Below are 26,619 nucleotides of genomic sequence, written 5' to 3'. Positions count from 1 at the left end.
AGTGCAGTGGCACAATCTTGGCTCACTGCAACCTCTGCCTCCTGGATTCAGGTGATTCTCCTGCCTCAGCCTCCCCAGTAGCTGGGACTACAGGTGCATGCCACCACACCTGGCTAATTTTTTATTTTTAGTAGAGACGCGGCTTCACCATGTTGGCCAGGCTGGTCTTGAACTCCTGACCTCAGGTGATCACCCACCTCAGCCTCCCAAAGTGCTGGGATTACAGGCATGAGCCAATGCTCCTAGCCTTATTTCCCATTTTCAAAGTGGACTGCACTAAGGACTTTCTTAGTGCAGGATGAGAAGCCAGCTATTCACAATATGCGGTAATGAAGTGGTTGATCAAATGACAGCATATTGTGCTATGGGATTCAGATGACTTGCGCACCAGAAATGAGGTTTTAGGGGACCTGGTAAATAAATATCAGGTAACCAGAATTCATCAACTATTTCCTTATGACCTTCAGTAAGTGCAAGCAGCAGGAGACACATTCCAATTCAGTTTCTGAGGTGGAAGTAGACAGAAGAAAAATTGGGCTACCACACCATTTCTGTGGATTAGATCAACATGCTGATTTGGAAAGTGTGGGATTCTGATCATTAAAGGGGGTATCCAGTTGGAGTCGGCAAGGTTTTCTTACTCTCAGGGTTCACCCATGTTGGCTAGCAATATGCCAGTGATCACTAGCAGAAGGGCAATGCTTGAAAGCTGACTGCTTCAAAAAGGGGAAATAAGTAAAACCACAGAAATCGGGGCCTGAAACATTCCTTAAAAAGTTCCCTGGGAAAGTTTCCATTCTTGCGGGGACCATAGAGTGGAATCATTTCAGGGAAGACACATGCCATTCATAGGTTCTTGCACTAGATCTTGGACATCAGTAACATCACACAATCCATAGCAAACAAGGAAGCAAAACCCACAGCCTCCAGAATCACTTAAAGTAGTAATGCCATATCCTAAATCCCACAAAATGAGAGTAAATATATTGTTCACACTGATTATATAAGGCCTCCCAGTGTTCTCTAAAGAGCTCTATTGTATTCAGCCTAGAAATGTACATCCCAGCTACGGGGAGCTTTAAACATGTAATGGACAATAATTGCCTTCTTGCAGTTCACAAGAGTTTTTTGAGGTAATGATACAAATGGCCTATTTTCCTAACAAAAAAAACAAGCAAATACAAATCCCAACCTGAGACATTTGTGCTCCTGCCTGCTTATCAGAAACATTCAAACGCAGTCCTAAACACCATCTTAGCTTTTGTCATGTTTTCAGACATTTAAAAAGGGGAAGGTGCTTTAGAAACTCTCCAGCCCACCCACCATCAGTCTCCGGAGTTTACAATAAGGAAACCAAGACCCAGGGAGCTTAACCCATGGCCATAATCATCATGATGTGTCTCCTCCCTCTTCGAATGCTAATTATATGATTTTAATAAGATGTAAATATATCCAGAAAGACTGCCTCTCTCGTCAATAGGTATAAGTGACCAATGCTACTCAGTTATGATTAATAAAAAAAGTAAAATGAAAGGTAAAGTGATGTGTCATGTTCCATCATGTGAGAAATGCATTATTTTGGAGGTTGCCACAACTGTATTACAATTTGGATGTTCACATCAGACCAAAGGCAATTTGGAAACAGGAAGTGTTTTAGTGACATGAAACTTTTATGGTGATAGTCCTCGGAGCAATTCACATATCATAGACCAAGTGTTTTTGAAATTATCATTTTATAGGACTGTACTTTGCTTTTTTGTTTTTTAGAGACAGAGTCTTCTTTCTTCACCCAGGCTGGAGTGCAGTGGCACAGTCATAGCTCAAACTCCTGGGCTAGAGTGATCCTCCCCTCTCAGCCTCCTGAGTAGTTAGAGCTGCACCACCACAGCCAGCTAATTTTTTATTTTGTTAGAGATGGGGTCTCTGTATGTGGCCCAGGGGTCTCACTATGTTGCCCAGACTAGTCTCAAATTCTTGGCCTCAATAAATCCTCTTGCCTCACCCTCTGAAGGTGCTGAGATTACAAGTTTGAGTCACCCAGCCTCCAAACTGTGCTTTAAAAAAAGAGACTTTGAAAAGATTTCACTACAACAATAATAGAGACTAGAATTCCAAAATCTGATTACAGCTTCCCGTACTTCTATACTTCTAGTTTTCTTTCTTTCCCTTCCCAGCCATCCCCCACCCCCGGCCACCATCAGTCCACACGCAAGTCTGGCCCCACAGGAGCCTGCAAGGCCTGTCATTTCAGTCACGCTCACCCTGCTAGCCTCTTGAGACAATCATTCTGGTCTCTGCCTTTGCCACAGATCTGCAGCTTCCTGTCTGAGGCTTTGTGGTCCTTTCATTTACCTTGAAGAGACCTCCTTTTGCATCCTCAGCAATATTGACAGCAAACCAATTCCATTTTGAGCCCAAACCCCATCCAAATTCAGATGAAGGAGCGGGCCAGCTACTACAGCTGCCAATATATCAGAAAGGGGAACTAAACCAACAGGGAAATAAATCTGCAATATGTTGTCTGTGACTTCAGCTTTCCACATGACACTCTTCACATCGCCAGCCAAATGGCAGCCCACTCCTGGTTCTTACCAATGTGTAAAGTTAAAAGCATTCTGCACGACAAGACCTTTCTCTGTGGCAGACGCCAGCACCTTGGATGGTTCAGCGCAGACAGAATCACAGATCTTGGGAATAGATCTGGTGATCCTGGCACACTTGAGGAGCTAAGGAAATACAGACACTGCACAATGCAAGCTGCAGTCTCATTTACCAGTCACAGTTGCTCACTCTATTATCTCAATGCAATTAACTCTAATAAGTCTCCTAGGAAGTTGTCTGGTTCAGACAAAAAAAAAAAAAATCTCAAAAAAAAAAAAAATGGCCAGGCACAGTGTCTCACACCTGTAATCCCAGCACTTTGGGAAGCCAAGCTCGGTGGATCACGAGGTCCGGAGATCAAGACCATCCTGGTGATCTCCTGGTGGAACATCCTGGTGTTTCACTAAACATGGTGAAACCCCATCTGTACTAAAAATAAAAAAAAAAATAGCTGGGTGTGGTGGCGCCTGACTGTAATCCCAGCTACTTGGGAGGCTGAGGCACAAGAATCACTTGAACCCAGGAGGCAGAGGTTTCAGTAAGCCGAGATCACACCACTGCACTCCAGCCTGGCGACAGAGCGAGACTCGGTCTCAAAAAAAAGAGAGAGAGAGAGAGTGGACCAAAGAACTAAAGAAAATGTTTTGCTCTCATGGATGTGAGATTTTACAAAACAGCCATTAAATACCTTTTGAAAAAAATGTTACTGTCCATGTAACATTCTCCATATGTAGTAAATGGGAGTGCCTAACACTACAGAAAACATGTGAGGTGAAAGACAATTTCACCTAAGTGATATACTATATTCAGTGTATGTAAAACATAGGTATGCAATGTTTTAAAGAGAAAATTGGCATCTCCTTGCCATCACAAAATGGCTGTTGGACAAATAAAGAAGATCCAGTTGAGGACCACCAAATTATTGCTCTGCCCCAGAATCCCCCCGACATGTGCTGAGTCACCTTGACCGAAGCCCCATTTTATTAGCATGCCCAGCAAGGAACATTATCCCAGCTCTTCTCCTGCATCCCCTCCCTCCCTTTTTTTTTTTTTTTTTTTTTTTTTTTGAGACAGAGTTTCGCTCTATCCCCCAGACTGGAGTGCAATGGGACGATCTCAGCCCACTGCAACCTCTGCCTCCCGGGTTCAAGTGATTCTCCTGCCTCAACCTCCCTAGTAGCTGGGATTATATGTGCCCACCACGCCCAACTAATTTTCTATTTTTAGTAGAGAAGGGGTTTCGCCATGTTGGCCAGGCTGGTCTCGAACTCCTGACCTCAAGCGATCCTCCCACTTCAGTCTCCCAAAGTCTTGGGATTACAGGCATGAACCCCCACACCTGACCCTCTCCTCTCCTTCTTAAAGTTGCCCCAACCTGAGCCATTTCTGTGCTTTGCTCTTTCCTACCTCAAAGGCAGAGGTTCCTCCTCCTTTCCAAAGCTGCTTCTTTCTTAGTTCCCACATCGAATTATGAGTTTATCAGTCATTTTCTCTCTCATCTCTTCTGTCCCCTATTCTTTATTTAAGTCCTTCCCCTTGGGAAACACCAGAAAGGGCCTGAGTCGGCCTTATCCAAACACACACACATTTTCTCCTCCCCAGGACCCTGATTTACTATCCTCTTTCTTTTTTACACATCATCTCCAAACATCCAAAGGCATCGTCTGTGTAAATAACCTGTATTCCCTCGCCACCTCCACATGCTTTCACCAGAAGTGCAAACAGACAGGCAGTGGAGTTGAGAGAGCCAGACCAGCTGGGGCTGGGGCACACTGGAGGTGTCATAGAGCAAAGGGGCTCGCCGCCAGATGCGCAAAAAACCAATACTGTGGCATCAGCTTTTGAGAAAAGAAAGGCTTGACTGCAAGACTGGCCAGCAAGGAGACAGGAGATGCTCAAATCTGCCTCCTCAATCTGGGGTCTAGAGCAAGATTTAAGGGGTCATAGGGCAAGGGAGAGGATTTCGGAATGTTGGCTTAGAAGGGCCTGATTGGACGGATTCAAATTTGACCATTTACACGCCTGTAATCCCAGCACTTTGGGAGGCCGAGGCGGGCAGATCACGAGGTCAGGAGATCGAGACCATCCTGGCGAACATGGTGAAACCCCGTCTCTACTAAAAATACAAAAAAAATTAGCCGGGCATGGTAGCGGGCGCCTGTAGTCCTAGCTACTTGGGAGGCTGAGGCAGGAGAATGGCGTGAACCTGGGAGGCGGAGCTTGCAGTGAGCCGAGATCGCACCACTGCACTCCAGCCTGGGCGAGAGCGAGACTCCGCCTCAAAAAAAAAAAAAAATTTTTGACCATTTACAGTAAAGTATTTTGAGGTGGATTTTATACCCAAATCTTCTGAACCAATGTCCCCTTCACTTTTGAAAGGGTTCCAGTATTCAGGTTTGAGTCATGTCACAGTCTTCCTGGTTCCATGGGGAGGAATTGTTGGTTCCAGGTGTTGTTAGGTGTTTTTCTGTTGAGCCAGCCCAGGCTATATGACTTGCAGTTTGGCTCTGTTCTACCTACAAGGTAACTTGACATTCCCTTATCAACAGAGTAGGCCCAGTTTGGGCTGGTCCTGCATTTACAGAGGGGGCAACTCCACTTACCTCCCCAACCCATGCCTCTGCTAGAAGAGCTCCAGCTACAGAGGAATGAGAGCCCATATTCCAAACCCATGCGATCTGAGGGACCAGATCACGCGTGTTTGGAATTATGAATTTTTATGTGAAAGCTACCAATTTTTAAATGTTATAAATTTATTTGATGTTTTAAGTGTTGAGGATCAAATAAAATACTTCTTGTCAAATTCAACCTATGGTGCTGAAATTTGCAAACTATGCTTTAAACCTTTTGTTTCCTTCACCCAATGCTCTCCAAAAACAGTTCTCTTAAAGGTCACCAGTGACCTCTGAGCTGCCTTAAACAGTGGCCTTTCTCATCTCATCCTCCTCAAACTTCTGTGCATGTAGCAAGTGTTATCACAAACTCCTGTGTTGCACTGCCAGAACTATGATGATTCCATGACTCCACCTTCCACTTCTTATTCTGTCTTGTCTCCTCTTTCTTTGGCTTACCTTGCCAGATCATGTTCTTTTTTCCCCTTTCAAAAATCTTTAATTGCAAAGATCATCTATTCTTTGGGCTTGGACTGTTTCAACTACAGAGGTCACTCCCAAAAATATATCTAGCTCCTCTGCTCAGCTCCAGTCTCAGACTTTTCTGTGTTGTGTGCAAGACCCCCAAAATCCCTGTGCTAACTCATCACCTTCCTTGGCACCATTGCCTCCAAACTTGCTTATTCCAGCCCTTTCTTCCTGATAAACCAGGTGCAAAACTTCACCCCTTGCTCCCTCTATTCTGACACCCAATGAATTTTCATTTCTCTTTTCTTCTTTTTGAAAAATCTGTCATTAATGGCTTCTTTTCCTTCCTTCTGCTTCTACTCTCACTAGCTCTCAGCTGGACCGTGAATTCCAAAGCGTCCATATCCATTTCCCAAACCCTCATTCTTACCTCTTCCCCTCTGCTGCACCGCAACTCAAGTCCTGTCACTCCTCTGCTTGGAACAATGAAATGACTTCCCATTGCTTATACAGAATGTATAACCTCAAGACCCCCTGTGAGCTTACCCTTCCCTATCTTTCCAGGCTGCTCTCCCTCCACTCCCTTTCCAATGCATTTCAACCACTTCTCTACCTGTGCCCTAAACACACCTGGCTCTCCCTGCTTAAGCCACTCTCTCTGCATGAAATATCCTTCCTTCCCTCTACCAAAATTCCAATGGCAAGCAAAACCCTTTTTGAATGTCTCAATTGCTTCTTGATTAATGTAATCCTCCTCTTCTCTGAAACCCTATTCCCCTCTACCTATTCCTCTGGTGGTCCTAATCACCGTCAGTTCTCCATTAGAGTTTCTGATGCATGTGTTATCCTTATAGAGAGTGGTTTCCAGGAGTGGCAGGCTTTGAGTCCCATCTGTCTTGGCTTCCACACAACCCTAGCTCAGTAACCTCCATCTATAATACATATACTTGAGGACCAGACGACTGGGCCAGTGTTCTGACTGTATGTGTAACAGGCACATTGTAGGTTTTCATCAGCTGGGTCTGAGTCTGGTAGGATGGGAAAGTGAGGCCTGCCTGACTTGCATAGTGAGGAAATCTTGGAATTAGAACAACACATACATAGCGGGTGAGTTACAGGGGTGGGCTCACATTTCTCGTTTTACCTTGACACTGGTTCATATCAAGTGGACTTTACTACTATTTTGAGTTCTCCTTCCTAAATTTCTAGCTTCCAGTTTGAGATTAGAACTATTTCTTCGTCACCAGGATAGCAAGCTCTTTTGTGTCTTTTTGTCTGAAGAAAAATAGTTCTCAGAGTTCCCCCTCCCATCCCACCATTCTACACACAGTATTGCCTTGGACTTGCCCTACTCCAGGATTCAGCCCCCAGGATCTGACCCACAACATTGCCTTGGCCTATAAAATTTTCATTTTGTTCCCTTTAAAAATAAATGCAGTGTTTTTATACTGAAACAAGGATGCATCCCACATGGTCAAACATAATTCAAACAGAGCAGTGTGTGTATTCAATGAAAAGTCTCCCTCCCCACACCACAGTCCCTGAGTTCATCTCCTCAAAGACAATCACTCTACCATTTTCTTGGGTACCCTTCCACTTTTCCCTCACTTGCAATGGAATGATTGCTGTTTTTATAGGAACAAAAGAACACCGTGCACACTCCTGTGCTCCTTAGGTTTTGTTCTTAACAATATTCAGTAATTTGTAAATCTAAGTGAATACATGCAAAGCCCTTAGAACAGTGCCCAGCCCATAGTTTATGCTAAATAAATGTCCCTTCACATGGGGGTATATCAAAAAACACACTGCAGCCTTCAAGAGTTTAAACCAACTAGACCCCAGGAGCACACAAGAAAATGATCCAGAGCCCAGAGGTGCTTTGTTCCACTCACATTTTCAGAGACAGAGTCCCTGCAGGCTTGGCTGTCACCTCTCCCACTTCATGTGTGGCATTTGAAGAAAATATTGCCATCAGTGCTCACCTTCTCCTAAATGAAGTCACACACCTACCTCCCTCTGATTCTGCCCAGTCTAAACAATACAAGAAATAAATGCTTCATAGTGGGTTTTGCTGCAACCACTTTCAGAAAACAGAGAAAAATCCCTTCTTGCCCTTTAATTTGATTGCATAGTAATGAAAGATAAATTCAATCAGATATAATGAGCTGCGTTGAGTCAGCATCCCAAACAGTGTGGCCAAAGCTGGCTCAGCTCTGCACCAGGTCACGGGTGTTTCTAAAGGGTCATGCAGACAGTCTCTTGCTTTTGGCCACTGTCCGAAACCTCTCCGCCCAAGTCCCTGAATTAGAGCAGAACTCACAGGTGATATAAATTCAGAAGTTAGTTAGGGCAAGGGCAAGGCATGGGGAAGAGACCAGTGAAGTCTCTGTTCCTCGTCAGAAGCAGTTCTCAGTGCAGAGGGCTTTATCTGATAGCCTGAAGAACACATCCTCTGTTGTCACCACTTTCAGTTCCCTAGCGAGGGAAGCCTGCCAGCACTTCCTGTTGTTGAACACCGAGGACCCTTTGAGGTGCCTGGGGCCACACCGGCAGCTCACAGCCACCCTGCCCAGCCGGGTCAGACCAGCAACCCAGGCGGGGCTGTGGGGCTGAAGCAGGGCAAGGGCACGGGCTCTCTGAATATTTGGTTGTTTGGGTGTCTGTGGAGTTTGGGAGAGCTCGTGACTGCATTTAGGAAGGAGGCTGGTGACTTAAGTAAACACGTGCCGCTCCAGAACAAATAGTCAAGAGTCCATTTAAATTCATTCTCCCCAGAGACTTTTGTTGCAAATATGCAAGGGTTGTGGGCTCATGGACATGTGCGCACACACGCAGGGTCTGCCCAGCAACTGAAGATGGGGAGAAATGCCATCACAGTGGCGATCCAATCTCACAGGGGAGGAAACGTGAGAGGCCTGACCCTTCCATGTTCCTCGCTGAGAGGCTTATGTGGGGTGAGGGACTGGGTCAAAACAAGGCCCAGCAATCACAGACAACTGTTCTTGCCACTGAGTCTCCGCCACATTCCTCAAAGCCCTGTGCACCTGATCCACACACCCGCATAGCTGCACATTCACGGGGAAAGGAGCCTAATTTCAGAACAGCTGCGGCTTCTTCACTGAGCCCATCGTATAAACTTTCTCAAAGGCCCTGACAACAAGAATATCAAAACTCCAGGAAGAAGTTGAGTAAACAGGTCACAGTTACCTAAAGTGGCACTCGGCCAAGCCACCTGTGCCAACAGAGATCCAGGGGATGAATGACCTCAACTGCTCCAGACCAGAGCAAGGAGAAACTTTACTGCAACAACATAATTGGGCCACTAGAGCCCTATGCGCAAACGCAAAGGCAAGGGCCAGAAAGACACCCCAAAGCATGTCCTTACCTAGAGCCGTGGTTGTAAATGCCAAGACTCAGACCAAGCTCAAGAGGAAGGTCAAAAGTCCACAGTTACTGTTCATCACGGAGGGAATGAGGGCTGTGGGCTGAGCATTGTTCCGGAGGTAGAATCGGACCAAGTCCTCTGTGCACAGATAGGGGAGAGGAGCAGGGCATAAGTTTAGAGAAGGGATCAGACACTCTCCAGAGAAGGATGGATGACAACTCCATGCAGCTGTCTGGAAAGTTCAGCGCTGTTGAGCCATTCCAGTGACTTTAGGGAATTAAGATGTTTGGGGTAGAATTCCAGATAAAACTCTGAATTTAGGCTAGCTTTCAGTTACATGAGCCAAAAACCTTGGTGATATTCTTGACCTCTCTCTTCTCTCTCTCTCTTCCCCCAAACCCCCACCCCTCCATATCCAATTTGTCAGAAATTCCTATTGGCCCTGTTTTCAAAATGTATCCAAAATCTAATTATTTCTCAGCACCTCCATTGCTGTCACCCTGGTCCGAGCCACCATCATCTCTCACCTCAGTTGCTGGAAGGACTCCTCCTGGGTGCCTGTTTCAACTCTTGGTCCCTTACAGTCCACAAGGGAGCCGGAGAGATACTTTTAAAATATGTCAGATGATGTCCCTTCTCTGCTGTGAGAAACCAACGTCCTCTCACTGCCCGAAAAGATCCTTACACGTTTGGCTCCCGCAGCAGCTCTGCCCTCATCTACGGCCTCTCTCCACCTAGCTCACCTGCTCCAGCCACACGGACCTCCTCATCATCCTGACCAGGACCACCTTTGCCTCCTGGGTTTCCTCAGGTGCAGCTCCCTCAGCCTGGGGAACTCCTTCCCGAGATGCATTCATGACTCACCCACCTCCTCAGCTCCTTCAGGCCTTTTCTCAAATTTCAACTTCTCAAAAAGCTCTGCATCATCTAAAAATTGCAAATGTATACAACTCTTCTCTAAACTGCTCTATTTTTCTCACATCACTTTTCCCTTTCTAAGGTTTTATTTAAGCACATATACATACATAAAATGCATTTATTATGTATTTATTATGCCTTTATCTGTCTTCTCCCAAGCTAAAAGGTAGAGCTCTGTGAAAACAAGGAATTTCATATTATGTGTTAATTAGTGGATCCTGTGAGCTTAATACAATGTCTGGCATATAGATGGTTCTCAATAGGAACAGTTTAAATCAACAAAGTAATTTAGGGTTTAAAAAATATATTTAGGCTGGGTGCGGTGGCTCAAGCCTGTAATCCCAGCACTTTGGGAGGCCGAGGCGGATAGATCACGATGTCAGGAGATCGAGACCATCCTGGCTAACACGGTGAAACCCCGTCTCTGCTAAATATACCACAAAATTAGCCGGGCATGGTGGTGGACGCCTGTAGTCCCAGCTACTCAGGAGGCTGAGGCAGGAGAGTGGCGTGAACCCGGGAGGCAGAGCTTGCAGTGAGCCGAGATAGCGCCTCTGCACTCCAGCCTGGGCAACAGAGCAAGACTACATCTCAAAAAAAAAAAAAATTATATATATTTAATGGTCCCTTTACCAGACTGGAAGCTTCCTCATGGTGGAAAAGGTGCCATCCATCTATTAATATATATAATATATATGTTAAATATTTATTGAGCATCTACTCTGTACTAAGCACTATGCTGAGACCTAAAATATAATGATGAACAAAACATGTATGGTCCTGCCTTCACAATGCCAATAATCTAGTGACTAGAGACAGACACTTAACATCATCACAAATAAAGAGAAAATTACAATGGACATAAATGAACGATTAAAATAAGAATGGGGGCCAGGTGCAGTGGCTCAAGCCTGTAATCCCAGCACTTTGGGAGGCCGAGGCAGGTGGATCACGAGGTCAGGAGTTCAAGACCAGCCTGGCCAAGATGGTGAAACTCTGTCTCTACTAAAAATACAATAATTAGCCGGGTGTGGTGGCGGGCACCTGTAATCCCAGCTACTCGGGAGGGTGAGGCAGAGAATCGCTTGAACCCAGAAGGTGGAGGTTGCAGTGAGCCAAGATCGGGCCACCGCAGTCCAGCCTGGGTGACAGAGCAAGACTCTGTCTCAAAAAAAAAAAAAAAGAAAAGAAAAGAAAAAAAAGAATGGGAAAGATATTATGTTTTGGGTTAGGTTGGTGGCAGAGGAGAGGGAAATTACTGAGGAGAATTAAGATTTATTTATAAGAACCTAGTGATCTTGAAAAAAAAAAGACTTTTTAAAAGAAAATACAGGAGTTATGGCTGGATTAAATGGTGTTGAGGAGAATTTTATGACAAATGTGAGTTCCAAATTTCTGGCTTAAGACATTGGGCGGATAAAATTGCTGTTGTATGAATTGATGTAATAGGCTGAATAATGGTCCTCCGAGGAAATTCATGTCTTAATCCCTGGGACCTGTAAATATTCTCTTATTTGGAAAAAAAAATAGTCTTTGTAGATGTAATTGAGGATCTTGAGATGGGGAGATGATCTTGGATTATCTAGGTGGAACCTAAATGCAGTCGCTTGTATCCTTATAAAAAAGAGGCAGAAGGAGATTAAAACACACACACACACACAGAGGAGAAGGCTATGTAAAGACAGGGCAGAAAGAGAATTGAAGATGCTGGCCTCCAAGATTGGAGTGATGCTACCACAAGCCAAGTGTGACAATTAATTTTATGTGTCAACTTGACTGGGCCATGGAGTGCCCAGACATTTGACCAAACATTATTTTTAATGTGACTGTGAAGGTGTTTCTGGTTGAGATTAACATTTAAATGAACAGACTGAGTAAAGTATATTATCCTCGCCAAAGTGGGCTGGCCTCATTCAATCAATTGAAGATTGGAGTTGAAGAAAAAGGCCAAGTAAGAGGGAATTTCTCTTACGTGACTGCATGAGCTGGAGCATTGGTCTTCTCTAGAGAGACAGTTTGATCCTATTGGTTCTGTTTCTTGGGAGAATCCTGACTAATACAGCAAAGAATGCCAGCAGCTAACAGGAGCAGTAAGAGACAAGGAACACATTCACCCCTAAGGCTCCAGAGGGAGTACAGCCCTGCCAACACCTTGATTTCAACCCAGAGGAATTGATTTTAGATTTCTGGCCTCCAGGACTATGAGAAAATAAATGTGTGCTGGGTTAAGTCAGCTCATTTTTAGTAATTTATTACAGAAGCCATAGGAAATTAATACAATAGGAACTATTATACAAGACGAGTCTAAGTGTGGGGGGGTGGTGTATCAAGATTCCATCTGGGGACAGGCATGGTGGCTCACGCCTGTAATCCCAGCACTTTGGGAGGCCGAGGCAGGTGGATTACCTGAGGTGAGGAGTTCAAGACCTGCCTGGCCAACATGGCAAAACCTCATCTCTACCTAAAAATACAAAAATTAGCTGGGTGTGGTGGTGTGCACCTGTAATCCCTGCTACTCATGAGGCTAAGGCAGGAGAATCGCTTGAACCCAGGAGGTGGAGGTTGCAGTAAGCCAAGATCGTGCCACCACACTCCAGCCTGGGTGACAGAGTGAGACTCTGTCTCAAAAAAATAATAATAAATTAAAATAAATTTTTTAGGCCGGACGTGGTGGCTCACGCCTGTAAACCCAGCACTTTGGGAAGCCAAGGCGGGTGGATCACAAGGTCAGGGATAGAGACCATCCTGGCCAACATGGTGAAACCCCGTCTCTACTAAAAGTACAAAAAAAATTAGCCAGGCGTGGTAGCGGGTGCCTGTAGTCCCAGCTACTCGGGAGGCTGAGGCAGAAGAATGGCGTGAACCCGGGAGGCGGAGCTTGCAGTGAGCCGAGATCGCGCCACTGCACTCCAGCCTGGGCGACAAAGCGAGACTCCGTCTCAAAAAATAAATTAATTAATTAATTAACTTTTTAAAGTTCCATTTGGAACATGAAATCTGAGATGTCTAGCACACGCCTCTGGAAAGGAAGGCCGAATAGGGATTTGGATATGCAGGTATGAGACTGACAGAATGGTCTGAGCACAGGCTTGAAGTTCCAAAGTCCCAGGGACTGAAAAGCTGTGGGAAGTGAAGTAAGAAAGAAAGACAGCCAAGCACGTGTCCTGAGGAACTCTCAACATTGGGAGATCAGGTGGAAAGGTAGCCTGAGAAAGAAACTAGGAGAACATGGGGTCTTGGAGGCCAAGGGAGGTGAGTCGTTTTGAATGACAGGGTGATCATCCCTGGAACAGAATCCAATCTGGAGTACATTTTATGAAAACGATGAGGAGGAAGCAGAAACAGCCTGTGTGGGTGACTTATTCTTGAAGTTTGGCTTGGAAAGTGCATAAAGAAAGCAGATAGTTGCTATGAATATTGGATCCAGGAAAGCTTTTTTTAATTCTTATTTTCATATGGCAGAGTTTAGGGCAATTCCATATGATTTGGAAAATGACCCAAAAACAGAAATGGTTGGAAATGCAGGTGAGAGTGGGGCTACCTGCTGAAGCCTGAGAAGGCAGAAACAGAGGATTCAGAGAGCAGGTCTCAATCCTGGCTGTAGTTTAGGATCCCCTGGGGACATTTTTTAAAAATCCCCACACCCAGCCTAAACCCAAGACAAATAACATCAGACTTTTTTTTTTTTCTTGGAGACAGAGTCTTGCTCTGTCGCCCAGGCTGGAGTTCAGTGGTATGATCTCGGCTCACTGCAAGCTCCGCCTCCCAGGTTCACGCCATTCTCCTGCCTCAGCCTCCCGAGTAGCTGGGACTACAGGTGCCCGCCACCACACCCAGCTAATTCTTTTTTTTGTATTTGTGGTAGAGACGGAGTTTCACCGTGTTAGCCAGGATGGTCTCGATCTCCTGACCTCGTGATCCGCCTGCCTCGGCCTCCCAAAGTGCTGGGATTACAGACGTGAGACATCAGACTTTTTGCTTTGGAACCCAGGCATCAATCATTGTCAAATCTCCCCAGGTGATCCCAATGAGTGGTTCCGGGGATTCAGAGCACACTTGGAAGGTGTGGCAGGGCATCCAGGTGCATGTGCTGGCACATGGAGAGGTAGGTTTGAAGGTTTGGTGGGTGTAAATTAAGGAATTCCTAACTTCAGCTTTCTATTTCCAAAATTCAAGGCAAGGTCATATACTAAGCATGTGCTGAACATGTATGGAAGAAGGGGGAGGCTAAGGGGTGAAGAAACGTAAAGATGACACAGTTCATCCTGAGAGTGGAAAAGGGAAGATGCCCCATCTGGAGAACTATGGCAAGAATGCCGGGCAGACTGGGAGTTTATAGCCATGCCATCCGGCCATTCATTCCCCTGACAGTTGTCAGACAGATACCAAACTAGGGGATGGGGCTCAAACATAAGAAAGACATTGTCCCTGACCTCACAGATTTCGCAGTTCAATGGAGGAGGGACACATATTAACAAACAGAAGATTCAGGTGCTACAATTGAGTCACACAAGAGAAATTGGGAACTCTAACCCTTGGGGAGACAGAAGCCATCTCCTCGGCACATAGGATGCTCCTGAGACGTGCTCCTTAATCTCCAAGCACCTTACTGTTGTGGGAAAACAAAGGGAGATACAGCTCAGTCCATATCCTCCAGGGATCGCTAACGCAGCCCCAAAACAGTTATGACACATCAGCAGCACCGTGCCACATGGGGCCTCCAAGCAGGAGAAAGTCTGGAAGGGCGGCAAGACTGAGGTCAACACGAATTTTCAGGTGGTAATCTTCAAGTGACATTCAGAAAGTGGTCACTAGGTGGCAGGGTTAACATTTGCAAAATAACTCCTGCCACTGCCTACCGTGTAGGAATGAACCTGACAACACTCCATGCCAAAAACCCAAGCTTCCAGGCCTGCCTGCAGTTTGCTGTGCCGAGGTAGCCAGCAAGAAGAGTAATCAGTCAATGATGATTTCAGGTGGCTGTTTAATCTGAACTCACTAGCCCGTGTTTTTTTGGTTTCATTTCTCTCCAGTTCATATGTGCCTCTTGAGCACTTGAAATGTAGACTGAGAAACTGAATATTGAATTTTATTTCATTTTAACTTGTTTAAACATTAAACATTATTACTCGATTCAGTGGTTGAAAAACTCTTAAGTGTGCCTGGAACAACTTGGTTATGTCAATCTAGTTTTTTGGCTATGAATTTTATGAAATCTAAATACGGATCAAATATTTCCAATGAAAATATAGGGCCAAAATTGAGATGTGCTGGAAATGTAAAACAAGCCCTGGATTTTGAAGACATAGTATAAAGTTAGAAGGTGAACATCTCATTAATATTTCACATCAGTTACATTGATTTTATATGATTGCAATAATATTTTGATATATTGAGTTAAATAAAATATATTCCTGAAATTAATTAATTTTTCACTTTGGGGCAGGGAGGACTGCCATGTCATTTATTAAGAGAAAGCAAAATGAAGCAAGGAGCTGCTCTGGGAACACACAGGGTGATGGCACAAGAACACAATAGCTAGTGTGTCCCACAGTCCCGGAGGCCCCTGCCCGCTTCCTCCACCAGGGCCTGCCCAGGGTCTCAGGGTGGCCTCCCTACCCTGCTTCCCTCCAGACCCCTTCCATCCCCTTGGAAGGGCATCCTCCCTCCTTACAGGGCCAGGTATTTTTCTCTGGATTTAACCAGACAACGACATTTTATTTTCTGTTCATCTCCTCCAACCACCCAACTCCCACCTCCTCCCACTTCTCTTCCCTGCCTCCCTTTTGACTGAAGAATCCCTGCTCCCTTGGTCTTCCAGTGAGGCCGCAGTGACTAAAGGGGACCCCTTCCCATCCACTCATCCCCACCCTGGTCCAGTTTCCCAGACCCCGATGCAGTTGGTTGTAAATTCTTCCAGGAGCTGTTTTCTGTCTCCTTTTTGGGAATTTTTTTAAAGTAAAAAACTTAAAACAGAAGTTTAAAAAGCAAAATGTGGAAGAAGAAAGCAATGACAGATTTGTTTCGTGGTTTTTTTTTTCTTTCTAAGGTGGGCTACTAGAAAACTTACAGTTGCATATGTGGCTCCCATTTCTACTGGGCAGTGCTGCTCAGAAGGATGTGCAGGGTTCGCCCAGGCAAGGAGACCCATGTTTAAGGAGATGACAGAGGCTGGGAGAGCACTGCCTAAGAGAAAGCCTAGGGGACGAGGCTGGGATGGGGTCACAGAGCATCGGGCTGGCACTCTCCCACCTCGCTCTGCCCTTGACTCCGACTATGACTAAATGGACATTTTTCATGGGCAAGGAAGGAGACAGGATTAAAAGTTTTCTTCAAAGCATTGGGCAAAACTGGTTGTTTTGGTGGGTTTTTTTTCCCTTCTTCGGGCTTCCCTGATGCCTTCTTTCTCTTGTTTGATCTCTGGGGCCAGACTCCCTAGGTTCAAGCCCCAACCCATCCATACAGTGAATGACCTTGGGCAATTTACTTAGCTTCCTTGTGTTTCTTTGCCTAGAAAAGACTACTCAGAGTCTAGGCATAGGATTACATTAGTTTGCATCTCTAAAATACTTAGAACAGTACCTGGCAATAGTAAGCACTATGTGCTAGATACTCATTTCTCAGACAAGAGGGGGATAAAAGGTAAATTTTAATGAGCTTTCTTATGAAAATGGTAAATGCTTCATATTCTATTAATTTAAAAAACATCAGCAACCTTCCAAATTCAATTCTGCTGATGAAAGTATATGTATTTTTTTTTAAAAGATGACAATCCAAAAAAAAAAAAGGTGCATCTATTTGGGAAGTGTGGGCCATGGCCAGGCTATTTTCTTGTTAGAATTCTGGATTGGGAGCAGGCCATCTCCTGCCCTGGAAAACAACCAGCTCTTCAAGAATCCAGCTCCACTGCACCCACACAGAGCTTGAGGCCTGGGGATAGCAGGTGCCTTAACCGCTTGTCATAGGTCTGAATTGCAATGGAGCTCAGTCATTTCCCGTATCAGCACACCATTTTGACTTCACATTTTGACCTCTCCAGAAACTAGCAAACCGCAGTGCCCCACCCAGCTGTACAGGTTTCTCTGAAAAACCACAGCCTAGGCTATCTCCAAATCAATTCTGAGAGTAGTTTTGTCATGACTGACTCACTTGAAGCAAACATTTTTTGTCATTTGTTCAGTTTCTTTATTGACTCTTGACTATTTAATGTGCATGTTTCAAAGTTACAAGTCAGCCTCGCTTTATACAGCCAAGATATGTGTAGTTAAATTTTTAAAAATCAAGTCATCAAAAAACTTGCACCACGTTTGTTACAGTTGAAAGAAATTCTACAAGGAACTCTAGTCTGTGAGCACAGTCACAAATAATATGAGTCCTTTGATAAATTAATGTTTATCAGTTCTACAAATTAAAAGTGTTATGGTAGATTTGTTTAAAGCAAATTAAACTATATTTAGAAGGTGGGAACAGAAATTTTACAATTTCCTCTTTTTACTTCTTTTTTTGTTTGTTTGTTCATTAATTATAGACTGCAACAGGAACTACAGTAGTTATGTTCCAACGAGAAAAACTATGCTAGAATTTGAAACTAGAATGTTAGAATATCACCATACTTGGCCATTGCTGATGGCATCTCTCTGTAAGGACTTTTTCGCTACCTTGATGTCTGTTTATGGCTGGTCTGATCATGGTATATGCTTATTCTGCCATATAAACTGGATTTTTTCTCTGGTTGAAAACCCAAGACACACCAGTTCTTAGCTTCTTATTTTCTTCTCCATAGGCTCCATATCTTGCATCTCATTTGGGGAAAAAGTCAAAAAGCTAGATTTGCCCTACCTCAGAGGTGAACTGCCTACCACATTGGCCAATGTCAGGGCTGTGGGGCATGTCACATCTCAGGGGGCTGGAGCCCACCACTCCCTGACTTACCTCCTACAAACACATCCCACGGTGCCTCAGCTGGACACTAGGTCCCAGACCCTGAACTGGAAGAAGCTCAGAGCCGGGATCTCAGGCAGGTTTCCTCTTTGATGGTGCTGGCTGCTGAGATGATCAGGCATCTGAGCAACCCCAAGGACTCAGATGAGTGGGCCCCAACGAGACACTGAGGGAAGAAAACAAATGGGTGCTACCTGGGCCTTCCACAGACCAAGAAAGATGATGATCCCACAGAAACAAAGTTCTGGTGAATGAGGAACAAATGGGAAGGTATGACAATGAAAAGCCACAGCTTAAAGTGAGGTTCAACAATAAAAACGAATATAAAAATCTGAGGGGATGAAAGCTTAAAGAGGCCCAATTAAAGCAAGAACTGAATGCTGACCAAACTGGCCTTACAGGAAAAAGACTTTCAGAAAGAAAATGCAATCGAAGTGAAATGAACGACAGGCAAAGAAACAAATGCAACCTATAAAAATCAAAGAAAAATAATGAAGATGTGTTTTCCTGAGCACGGAGGTCACAGGGATTGAGCAAGGTTTTGACCAACTCCCCATCAATCTCCACATAATAAAGTGATAGATTTCTGCGACTGGGGCTGGTTTGGTTTTGTTCTTAAGTCAGAAATTATAGTTGTTTCCAGATCTTAGGCTAGAATCGAAAACTTGGGAAACACTCGGTATTTTTTATTATTTTGAAATTAAAACTCCCAAATGTAAATTGCCCCAAACTAGCAAATCTCAAAAACCTAAAAATCTTACATATGTTCCAGCCATGCAGGAGCTGAAAGAGAACTATTTACAATAGTTTTGATCAGTGTTATTTATAAAATGGAAATCTCACGAGTCTACTTAGAGCAAGTAGCACTTTTCTCTGGGGAAGTTATTGGGGAAAAGCAAAGCATTTTAGTCCCAGCTATACCAAATTTGGTGGCTTTGGGCACTTATTGGAAGGATCCAAACTCTGCTTTAAAATAGAAACACGTATGTGAGACTCAAGTCATCTCTAGAAAGATGTTTAGAAAATATGTGCAAATGTTCAGATATTGCCACAATAAAAACCCTCTGCCGAATCTTAACCATTTACTTCTAGTTCCCAAGCTCGTCCCCGAGCCCCTTCATATTCTACCCAGGGCACTCACATGCAGGATGACTGCTGGAGATCTTATGTGATTGGGGAGAGCCTCCCTCACAGGAGGAAGAAGCCTCAATAAGCAGAGATTGAGTATGCATATCTGGCAAGCCACCTTAATTAGCTTCTTCATATGTACAAACATTTCCTCACAGCCCTACTTAACGATCAGCGGTCATCATGTGCCCTAATTCAGAGACTCTGTATCAGCAATAAATTGGGCCTGGGGCAGCCTCCTCCTGCCCTGTCATTAAAGAGTCCTATTTACTGTGGCCTTTGCAGTCACTCCATCTCCTTAGCACTGGAAAGTCACTACAGCTTGCAGTGTTTACTTTGGTGGTCAACAGCAATAGGCACTCAGTGGTCCCGGCAGTAGCTCAGAGCCCATAGATTCTGTGCAATTAAGAAAATACAGCTGCATGAAGTGAGGAGTGGCCCATGGGCCTGGGGACCAAGTCAGCATGTCCTTGGCATTTACTAAGTCCAGATGTCTTTATCTTCTGGGCAGGAAGTCAGAGCCTGTCCAGATGGCATCTTGATTGCTTTTGGCCCAGCTGATTAAATTTCTAAGGCTGACATCTCTTCCAAATACCCTCTCCATCCTATGAAATGTGGTTGTCAGATAAGTGCCAGAAAGAATCCCCAGAGAGGACTGCAAACTGGGAGGGCCTGAAGGCAAACCTGAGCGCCTGAGAAGTCCGCGCTGAACACATTTCCTGCCATATGGCTGGGGTTCTGGGATTCTTTCCACTACAAGCCAGGGGATTTCTTGAGAAGCAAGAGTGAGTCTGGGATCAGACAGAGAGAGTTAGGAGCCCTGGAACTTCCACTTTCTGACCTGTGAACTTGCATGTATTTCTGAACCACTCTAACCTTTGTGCACTCATCTATAGATTTGGGATAAAAATAGCACCTACCTCATGTGAACCCGGGAGGTGGAGCTAGCAGTGAGCCAAGATCGTGTCACTGCACTCCAGCCTGGGCGACAGAGCAAGACTCCGTCTCAAAAAAAAAAAAAAAAAAAAAAAAAAAAAGGACCTACATCAACAAGTAGTTCTGAAATTATATGTGATAAATAATGCACATCAAGTGTTTACAAGAGTACCTGGCATATAGTCTGTATTACCTACATATATTTTATTTTTGCTCTTCCTTTTACTTTGCCTCCTGAGGAGCTGCTCCTTAAAACCACAAACTGAATATGGACAATAAATCAGCCTGGTCATTCACGCATGCTTTATGCTAGAAATAACACGTAATTCTTGCCAAGCATGGTGGCTTATGCCTGTAATGCCAGCTACTCAAGAGGCTGAGGCAGGAGGATCACTTGAGGCCAGGAGTTCAAGACCAGTCTGGAACACAGTGAGAACTCTGCCTATAAAAATATTTTTTTAATTACTATTTTTGTAATTTATTTTTTTTTAGAGACACGGGCTCACTCTGTCACTCAGGCTGTAGTACCATGGTGCGATCTCAGCTCACTGCAGCCTCGACCTCCTGGGCTCAGGCAATCCTCTTGCTTCAGCCCCTCAACTAGCTGGGACCACAGGCATGTGCCTCCACACCTGGCTGATTTTTGTATTTTTTGTAGAGACAGGGTTTTGCCATGGTGCCCAGGCTGGTCTGGGACTCCTGAACTCAGGCAATCTGCCTGTTTCAGCCTCCCAAAGTGCTGAGATTACAGGCGTGAGCTACTATGCCCAGCCAGAAAAAAAATTTTTTTAATACATAAAATAAAAATAATTCTTTATAGTCCTTTATGGGTTATTCTCTATAGTCCTTTCTTTCACAAGCACCCTTCAGAGGTAAGCAGGGGAGACAGTATTTCTCTTTTGTAGAAGAAGTTGAAACACTTAGAGTCTAATGATATGTCCAAGATCAAATAGGTATCTGTGTCTGAAGATGGAAACCCATGAAGGCTGTTGAACTCTTGTCTGCTGCTAATCCTGCTCACAAGAGGAAGACAGGGCTGCACATCGAGCAGAGGAACAAACAAAAGGTTCCCTTACCCCATCCTGCCTGTAACAAATGCTCCCAGTCATACTGATGGGACATTTCTGAGGTTCACTAGAATGAAGGAAGGATGCCACATTGCCATTTACGGAAGTTGTTGCCTACCTCTTAGCTAGCTTGGGCAATCCTTTCCTCCCACGCTCACTATAAAGGGCTGCGGAAATTTAATCTAATACAATGCTCACAGTAAAAAGCCTGACATAAGACAGGGTGTGCAAAATGTTCCTGAAGGGCTAAAAGTAAATAATAATATAAGTAAATTGAATAATAATATAAGTAATCTCCACTTTTGGGACTGTTAAACTCATAGGTTGTTCACTTACATTCTTAATGAAAAAATGACAGGGCTGGATTAGATTATTTTAAAACTTATTTTTAGCTTAAAATTTCTGATTTCAATGCACCACTATTGAAACTATTTTATTTCAGAGTTGAGAGTTTATCTCAGAATCCCAATTCCCAGCCCTGTACTCATTCTAGTCCCTGTATCTCAGTTCCTGTTAATATTACATTCATTTACAGTTTGAGAGAAAAACCCTAAGGATGCCTTTAACATTTCTGCCTTCAAAAAATGCATCAGATGAAAGAGAAGTTAGTGAACGGCACTGATGTTATGGTTAATTGAAAGTTAAAGCTTGACAAATATTCTAACATGCTACACATATTTTCAGAACTATATATATGTAACTAGATGACCACAAAAAATAGTGAAACCCAGATTTGGGGAAATGTTCCAACACCAGATAGTTTTCAAATTGCTATAATGAAGGCCCAGAGAATGGATATTTCCAAAATCACTCATCTTGGGAAGAGGTAAATCCTGGGACAGGGAGTGCAAACGTCCTTGGATAAGACAGGTAAAGACCTCCCCTTCCCCTGAGTATGGAAACACAGAAGATTTGGGCTCAGAGGCACATGAAAGGACTTAGACAGCTCACCTCTGTCACAAAAAAATTCTCTATGTCATGTGAAGGTACTGTGCTTGCACTGTTGGTGGTGGCATTGGCAGCAGTGCCAATAATAGTGCAGAGAGGGCCAGGCCTGGTGGCTCACGCTTGTAAACCCAGCACTTTGGGAGCGCGAGGCAGGCAGATCACCTGAGGTCAGGAGTTCAAGACCAGCCTGGCCAACATGGTGAAACCCCGTATCTACTAAAAATACAAAAAATTAGTTGGGTATGATGGCAGGCACCTGTAATCCCAGCTACTTGGGAGGCTGAGGCATGAGAATTGCTTGAACCCAGGCGGCAGAGGTTGCAGTGAGCGAAGACTGTGCCATTGTACTCCAGCCTTGGCAACAAAAGCGAAATTCCGTCTCCAAAAAAAAAAAAAAAAACAACAACAACAACAACAAAAAACAGTGCAGAGAAATAGTCAAGTTCTGGATGAGGGTCAGCATCACAAGCCTGTCCAACTTCAAAAGTACACAGCTGAGCTTGAAATTGAAGGGGACCAGAACATAACACCCCAAAATTCACCACTTTGATGTGTTGATTATTCTGACCTGAAAGTAACTGAGAAATTGCAGATGTAGGAGAGGCTTCCTGCCCTCCCCATTTTTACCTAAAAACAGGACATAAATTTCCCATGAGAAAGGTGCCATTCCTGTACCTGGAATAAGAGAATATTCTTATCACTGGAGACAAGGAGTCAAAACAGACCTTACTTAACCTTTACCTTTCATTAATTTTCCCCATATATATCCCAGTCACTTTCCCACAATTTACTGCTCCTAGCTCAAATCCCTTTTTCCTTTGTCTTGTAACATCTCCACAGTTGATTGCTCTTTGTTAAAATGGTATGTAATCCTCTGGGTCTAACCGCCGCTTTGGGATCTTCCTGTCTTTCTAGGAAGCCCTTGTGCCACACAAAAATATTAACATCAAATAAAATTATTGTGCTTTTTCTCCTGTTAATCTGTCTTTTGTCAGTTCAATTCACAGGCTCCAGTCTGAGAACCAAAGAGGGTAGAGGAAAAGTCTTTCTTCCCCTATAAAATCAAGCCAGACATGAGGAAAGCCCTGTCTCCTCTCAAGGTGTGAAAGGAGCATCACCATCACTTGCTCTGTCTAGCCTGGTAGCCTCACAAGCAGCATCAACCACAAAGACAGAAGCAAAAGCAGCATGACAAGAAGGCAGGAGTAGAGGAACAGATAGCTTTGTTCTGGTGCACTCATGAAGCAGCACAACAATAACCCTCAGAGAGAGGTGGGCTTGACTTTGGGCCCTTATTGCTCTGAACCTTGGGTTATAATAATTTGATTTAAAAAATAAACAGGCTGGGCATGGTGGCTCACACCTGTAATCCCATAATTTTGGGAGACTGAGGCAGGCGGATCACCTGAGGTCAGGAGTTCAAGACCAGCCTGGCCAACATAGAGAAACCCCATCTGTACTAAAAATACAAAAATTAGCCGGGCATGGTGGCACACACCTGTAATCCCAGCTATTCAGAAGGCTGAGGAAGTAGAATCTCTTGAACCTGGGAGGCAAGGTTGCAGTGAGCTGAGATCGCACCAATGCACTCCAGCCTGGGTGACAGAGCAAGACTTCGTCTGAAAAAAATAATAATAAAATAAGATAAACAAACATATATTGGGAAATATAATGATAAAGAGTAAAACTGACCATACAATATTTAAAATATTCACGTAAAATTTTAGATGCAAATAAACATAACCATCTGGAGGCAGGAAAGCAGGCTTGAACAAAAAGCAGAACTACAACTAAATGTAGAGAGGGGAAAAATATAGGTCAGTTTAATACCAACTGGTGCCCATAAGATATAATATAAATTATTGTTTTAATCCCCTAATGAAATTATTTTAAAAATATCTAGCTTTTTGCTAAACTTAGATCACAAAAGCATATTTTGGTTTGCACATCCTTGAAAGAAAGTACATTAGCCTTTGAGTTATCACCAGGAAAGAGCCTGAAGAGCCAAATAAAGAGTTATAGGACCCCAAATCACTCCCAGATTATAAATACATGGCAACAAGGAAGTGAATGTATGGGCCTCACCAGACAGGAAATTGGGTAGTTCTGTGGGGTCACCCATGGGGAGATAGCTGACCACAAGGGACAAACTGCATGCAAATGTAGTAGAATAAAAGACAGTACAACAACAAAAACAATGATTTGGGATTTGTATGTAAATATATGTTAATACCTAATATAAGGATGCTTGAACTTTTGAAAACTTCTGGGGCCCACAGTCTGTTGTTTCCTCACTGAAATGGATGCTGATCAGTAGAAATAAATACATTTCTGGTGCCTTTTCTCATGTTCTCTTCTCCCTCTCCATATCTCTGCAAGAACTGTTTCTCAGCATGGGTGCTGGCAGTTTGATCCCTTAATGGCACTATGAGTCAACTGGGAATGCAGAAATCATGGTGCCCATCACTCCGCCAAACTTCTTTCTCTAATTTTTGTTTGCCAAGAAGATGTGAGACTACCTGGAAAAAGAAAGAGCAGATTATTAACAAAAATCAAGTGTAACTCAATATTATTGGCTCAAGCCAAAAACTCTGTTACAAAAGTAAATTGGAAATCATAGTTTTGAAATAGAGTAATGGAGTTTTAAATAAAGAAGTACCTTGTTGATAAGCTAGTTAAACTCCATAATTTCTCAGGTAAGTAAACTGAGACTGAGAGACTGCCCCAGTGACACACAACCAGTGAGTGGCAAAGCTGGGATTAAAATTCAAGTCAGTGCTTTTCTTGGGCAATTGGGAAAACATTTAGATAAACAGCCTGCTAGGGGTTGTAATACATGAATTTATGACATAGTTTGAGGAACTAGAGATTTTTAACCTAGAAAGAGAACGATTCAGGGACATGGTAGCTATTTTCAAATACTTGAAGGTAGAAAAGGCCTTGAACTTACTCTGTTAGCCAAAGGAGACTTTAACAGTTCAATATAAGATAAAACCTTTTAAACAGTCAAACTTGGCCAAAACCATTGGGGGGTGAGGGATGATGAGTTTTCTGTCACCTGAGGCATTTCATAATAGACTGAAAAATAATTCAGAGAGTATGTTTTTGTCTACAGAGAGGGGTGAATTAGGGGTGTGTAGGAGAGAATTCAGGCATGAACATCATTTGGATGAGGTGACCTGTAAGAGGATGTGGTTCTTTATATCCAAATTCTGGGACCAAATAAGGTTTCATTCTTGCCTCTAAACTCTAAAACCTATCTTCTCATCTGTTTGCAATAGTTTACATTTTAATCTATTTCATATTTCAGGGTATTATGCCCTGAATATGTGATTTGAATACCGTGGCAGAAGGTCACTCATATTCATTCATTTTATTTTACTCTTATATACTTGCAGTGAGTCTTTTGAATTCATTATGCAAACACATGTAAATCATATGCAAATGATATAGCTTAAGAAAATGACAAAATCTGATGGCCTTAACTGAGCCATCAGACCTTTCTTTAAGAAGGAAAGTAATATGCCTTTCAACATCTCTGGGGCAGGAGACAATTTCCTGAGAGTGATATTTACACGACATTGGAATTCGTTACTCAGTCTTTGCCTCACATTCTGCATATTTATGTGGGACTTTAAGATAAGAAAAGCATTTTCACATACATGATCCTATTTGATCCTCATAATTACTCTGTGATGTAGGCAGAAGAGGAATTATAATTCTTGTTTTTCAGATGGGAAAACGGACTTAGAGAAGTGAAATGACTTGCCCAAGGTCACTCAGTTGGTAAGCAAGGATCTGCGGTCTACCACTAGACTCTTCCCAGTTCTCAGCTCTTCCTAATATACACTGATGGATGTCTTATTTGAAGCAAGGTGGTCCGTCATTGGTCTGGGTTTGCTTAGACTGTGTCTTGCTGATAGCATCTTCAGAGATGATTTTGTTGATGAAGATGGCATTTTAAGGGTGACCAGGAAAAGCCCAAATATGTGTAGCAGGCCTAGCAGACTGCCAAGTACATATTTCCTCCAATCCCCTCTGCTTTTTAGCATCTTTTCTGAAATCTCCAGATGAACAACATTCTTCGCCCCATCTACTCTTCAGCTCCTTCAGGAGGCAAAGTCCTTTCTTAAACTGTGAAGAGTAGCAGCATAGTCTCTGCAGTGAGATTTTCTGGATCTGAAGCCCTAATCTACCACTCTCTAATTGTGTGGCTTGGAGAGATCATTTAATTTCTCTTAAGCATCAGTTTCTACATCTATAAAATGAGGGAAATAATAATATCTCTCTTATAGAATATATGGAAATATTCGAGGATAGGAAAATGCAGCAAAAAACTGCATTAAACCTGACCCAGTGTCTGACACATAGTAAGGACTCAATAAATGGCAGATACTATAGTCATTTGATTCATCATAGTAATACTGTAGAGGTGGTGGTGGTGGTGGTGGTGGTAGTAGTAGTAGTAGCAGTAGTTAAGTCATTGTGAACTCTGATACTAAGAACTGGGCTCTTGGAAATGGAGTGGGAGAACAGTAACACCAAATATATCCTGTATGCCAGAGGGTTGAAGAACAGACAGAACAGGTAGCTAAATGCAGCCTATTGAGGAATG

General features: G+C 43.6%; 4 annotated features.

Annotated features, from left to right (window-relative positions):
• Positions 1,994 to 2,103: an enhancer, noted in NCBI's record as "active region_22626". NCBI's record gives its function as "activates an Ori minimal core promoter by ATAC-STARR-seq in GM12878 lymphoblastoid cells {active_cell/tissue: GM12878}" and the evidence as "EXISTENCE:reporter gene assay evidence [ECO:0000049][PMID:35858748]".
• Positions 4,704 to 4,891: a silencer, noted in NCBI's record as "fragment chr5:66515108-66515295 (GRCh37/hg19 assembly coordinates)". NCBI's record gives its function as "represses an EF-1alpha promoter that drives an FKBP-Casp9 reporter gene in an ReSE screen in K562 erythroleukemia cells {active_cell/tissue: K562}" and the evidence as "EXISTENCE:reporter gene assay evidence [ECO:0000049][PMID:32094911]".
• Positions 8,032 to 8,271: an enhancer, noted in NCBI's record as "active region_22625". NCBI's record gives its function as "activates an Ori minimal core promoter by ATAC-STARR-seq in GM12878 lymphoblastoid cells {active_cell/tissue: GM12878}" and the evidence as "EXISTENCE:reporter gene assay evidence [ECO:0000049][PMID:35858748]".
• Positions 16,822 to 18,021: an enhancer, noted in NCBI's record as "CDK7 strongly-dependent group 2 enhancer chr5:66501978-66503177 (GRCh37/hg19 assembly coordinates)". NCBI's record gives its function as "activates an origin of replication core promoter dependent on BRD2, BRD4, P300/CBP, MED14 and CDK7 cofactors, with strong dependence on CDK7, by STARR-seq in HCT116 cells {active_cell/tissue: HCT116}" and the evidence as "EXISTENCE:reporter gene assay evidence [ECO:0000049][PMID:35650434]".

The sequence above is a fragment of the Homo sapiens genome, chromosome 5 (genome assembly GCF_000001405.40).
Source record: "Homo sapiens chromosome 5, GRCh38.p14 Primary Assembly".
NCBI classification, from domain to species: domain Eukaryota; kingdom Metazoa; phylum Chordata; class Mammalia; order Primates; family Hominidae; genus Homo; species Homo sapiens.
This window is presented reverse-complemented; position numbering and strand designations above follow the sequence as displayed.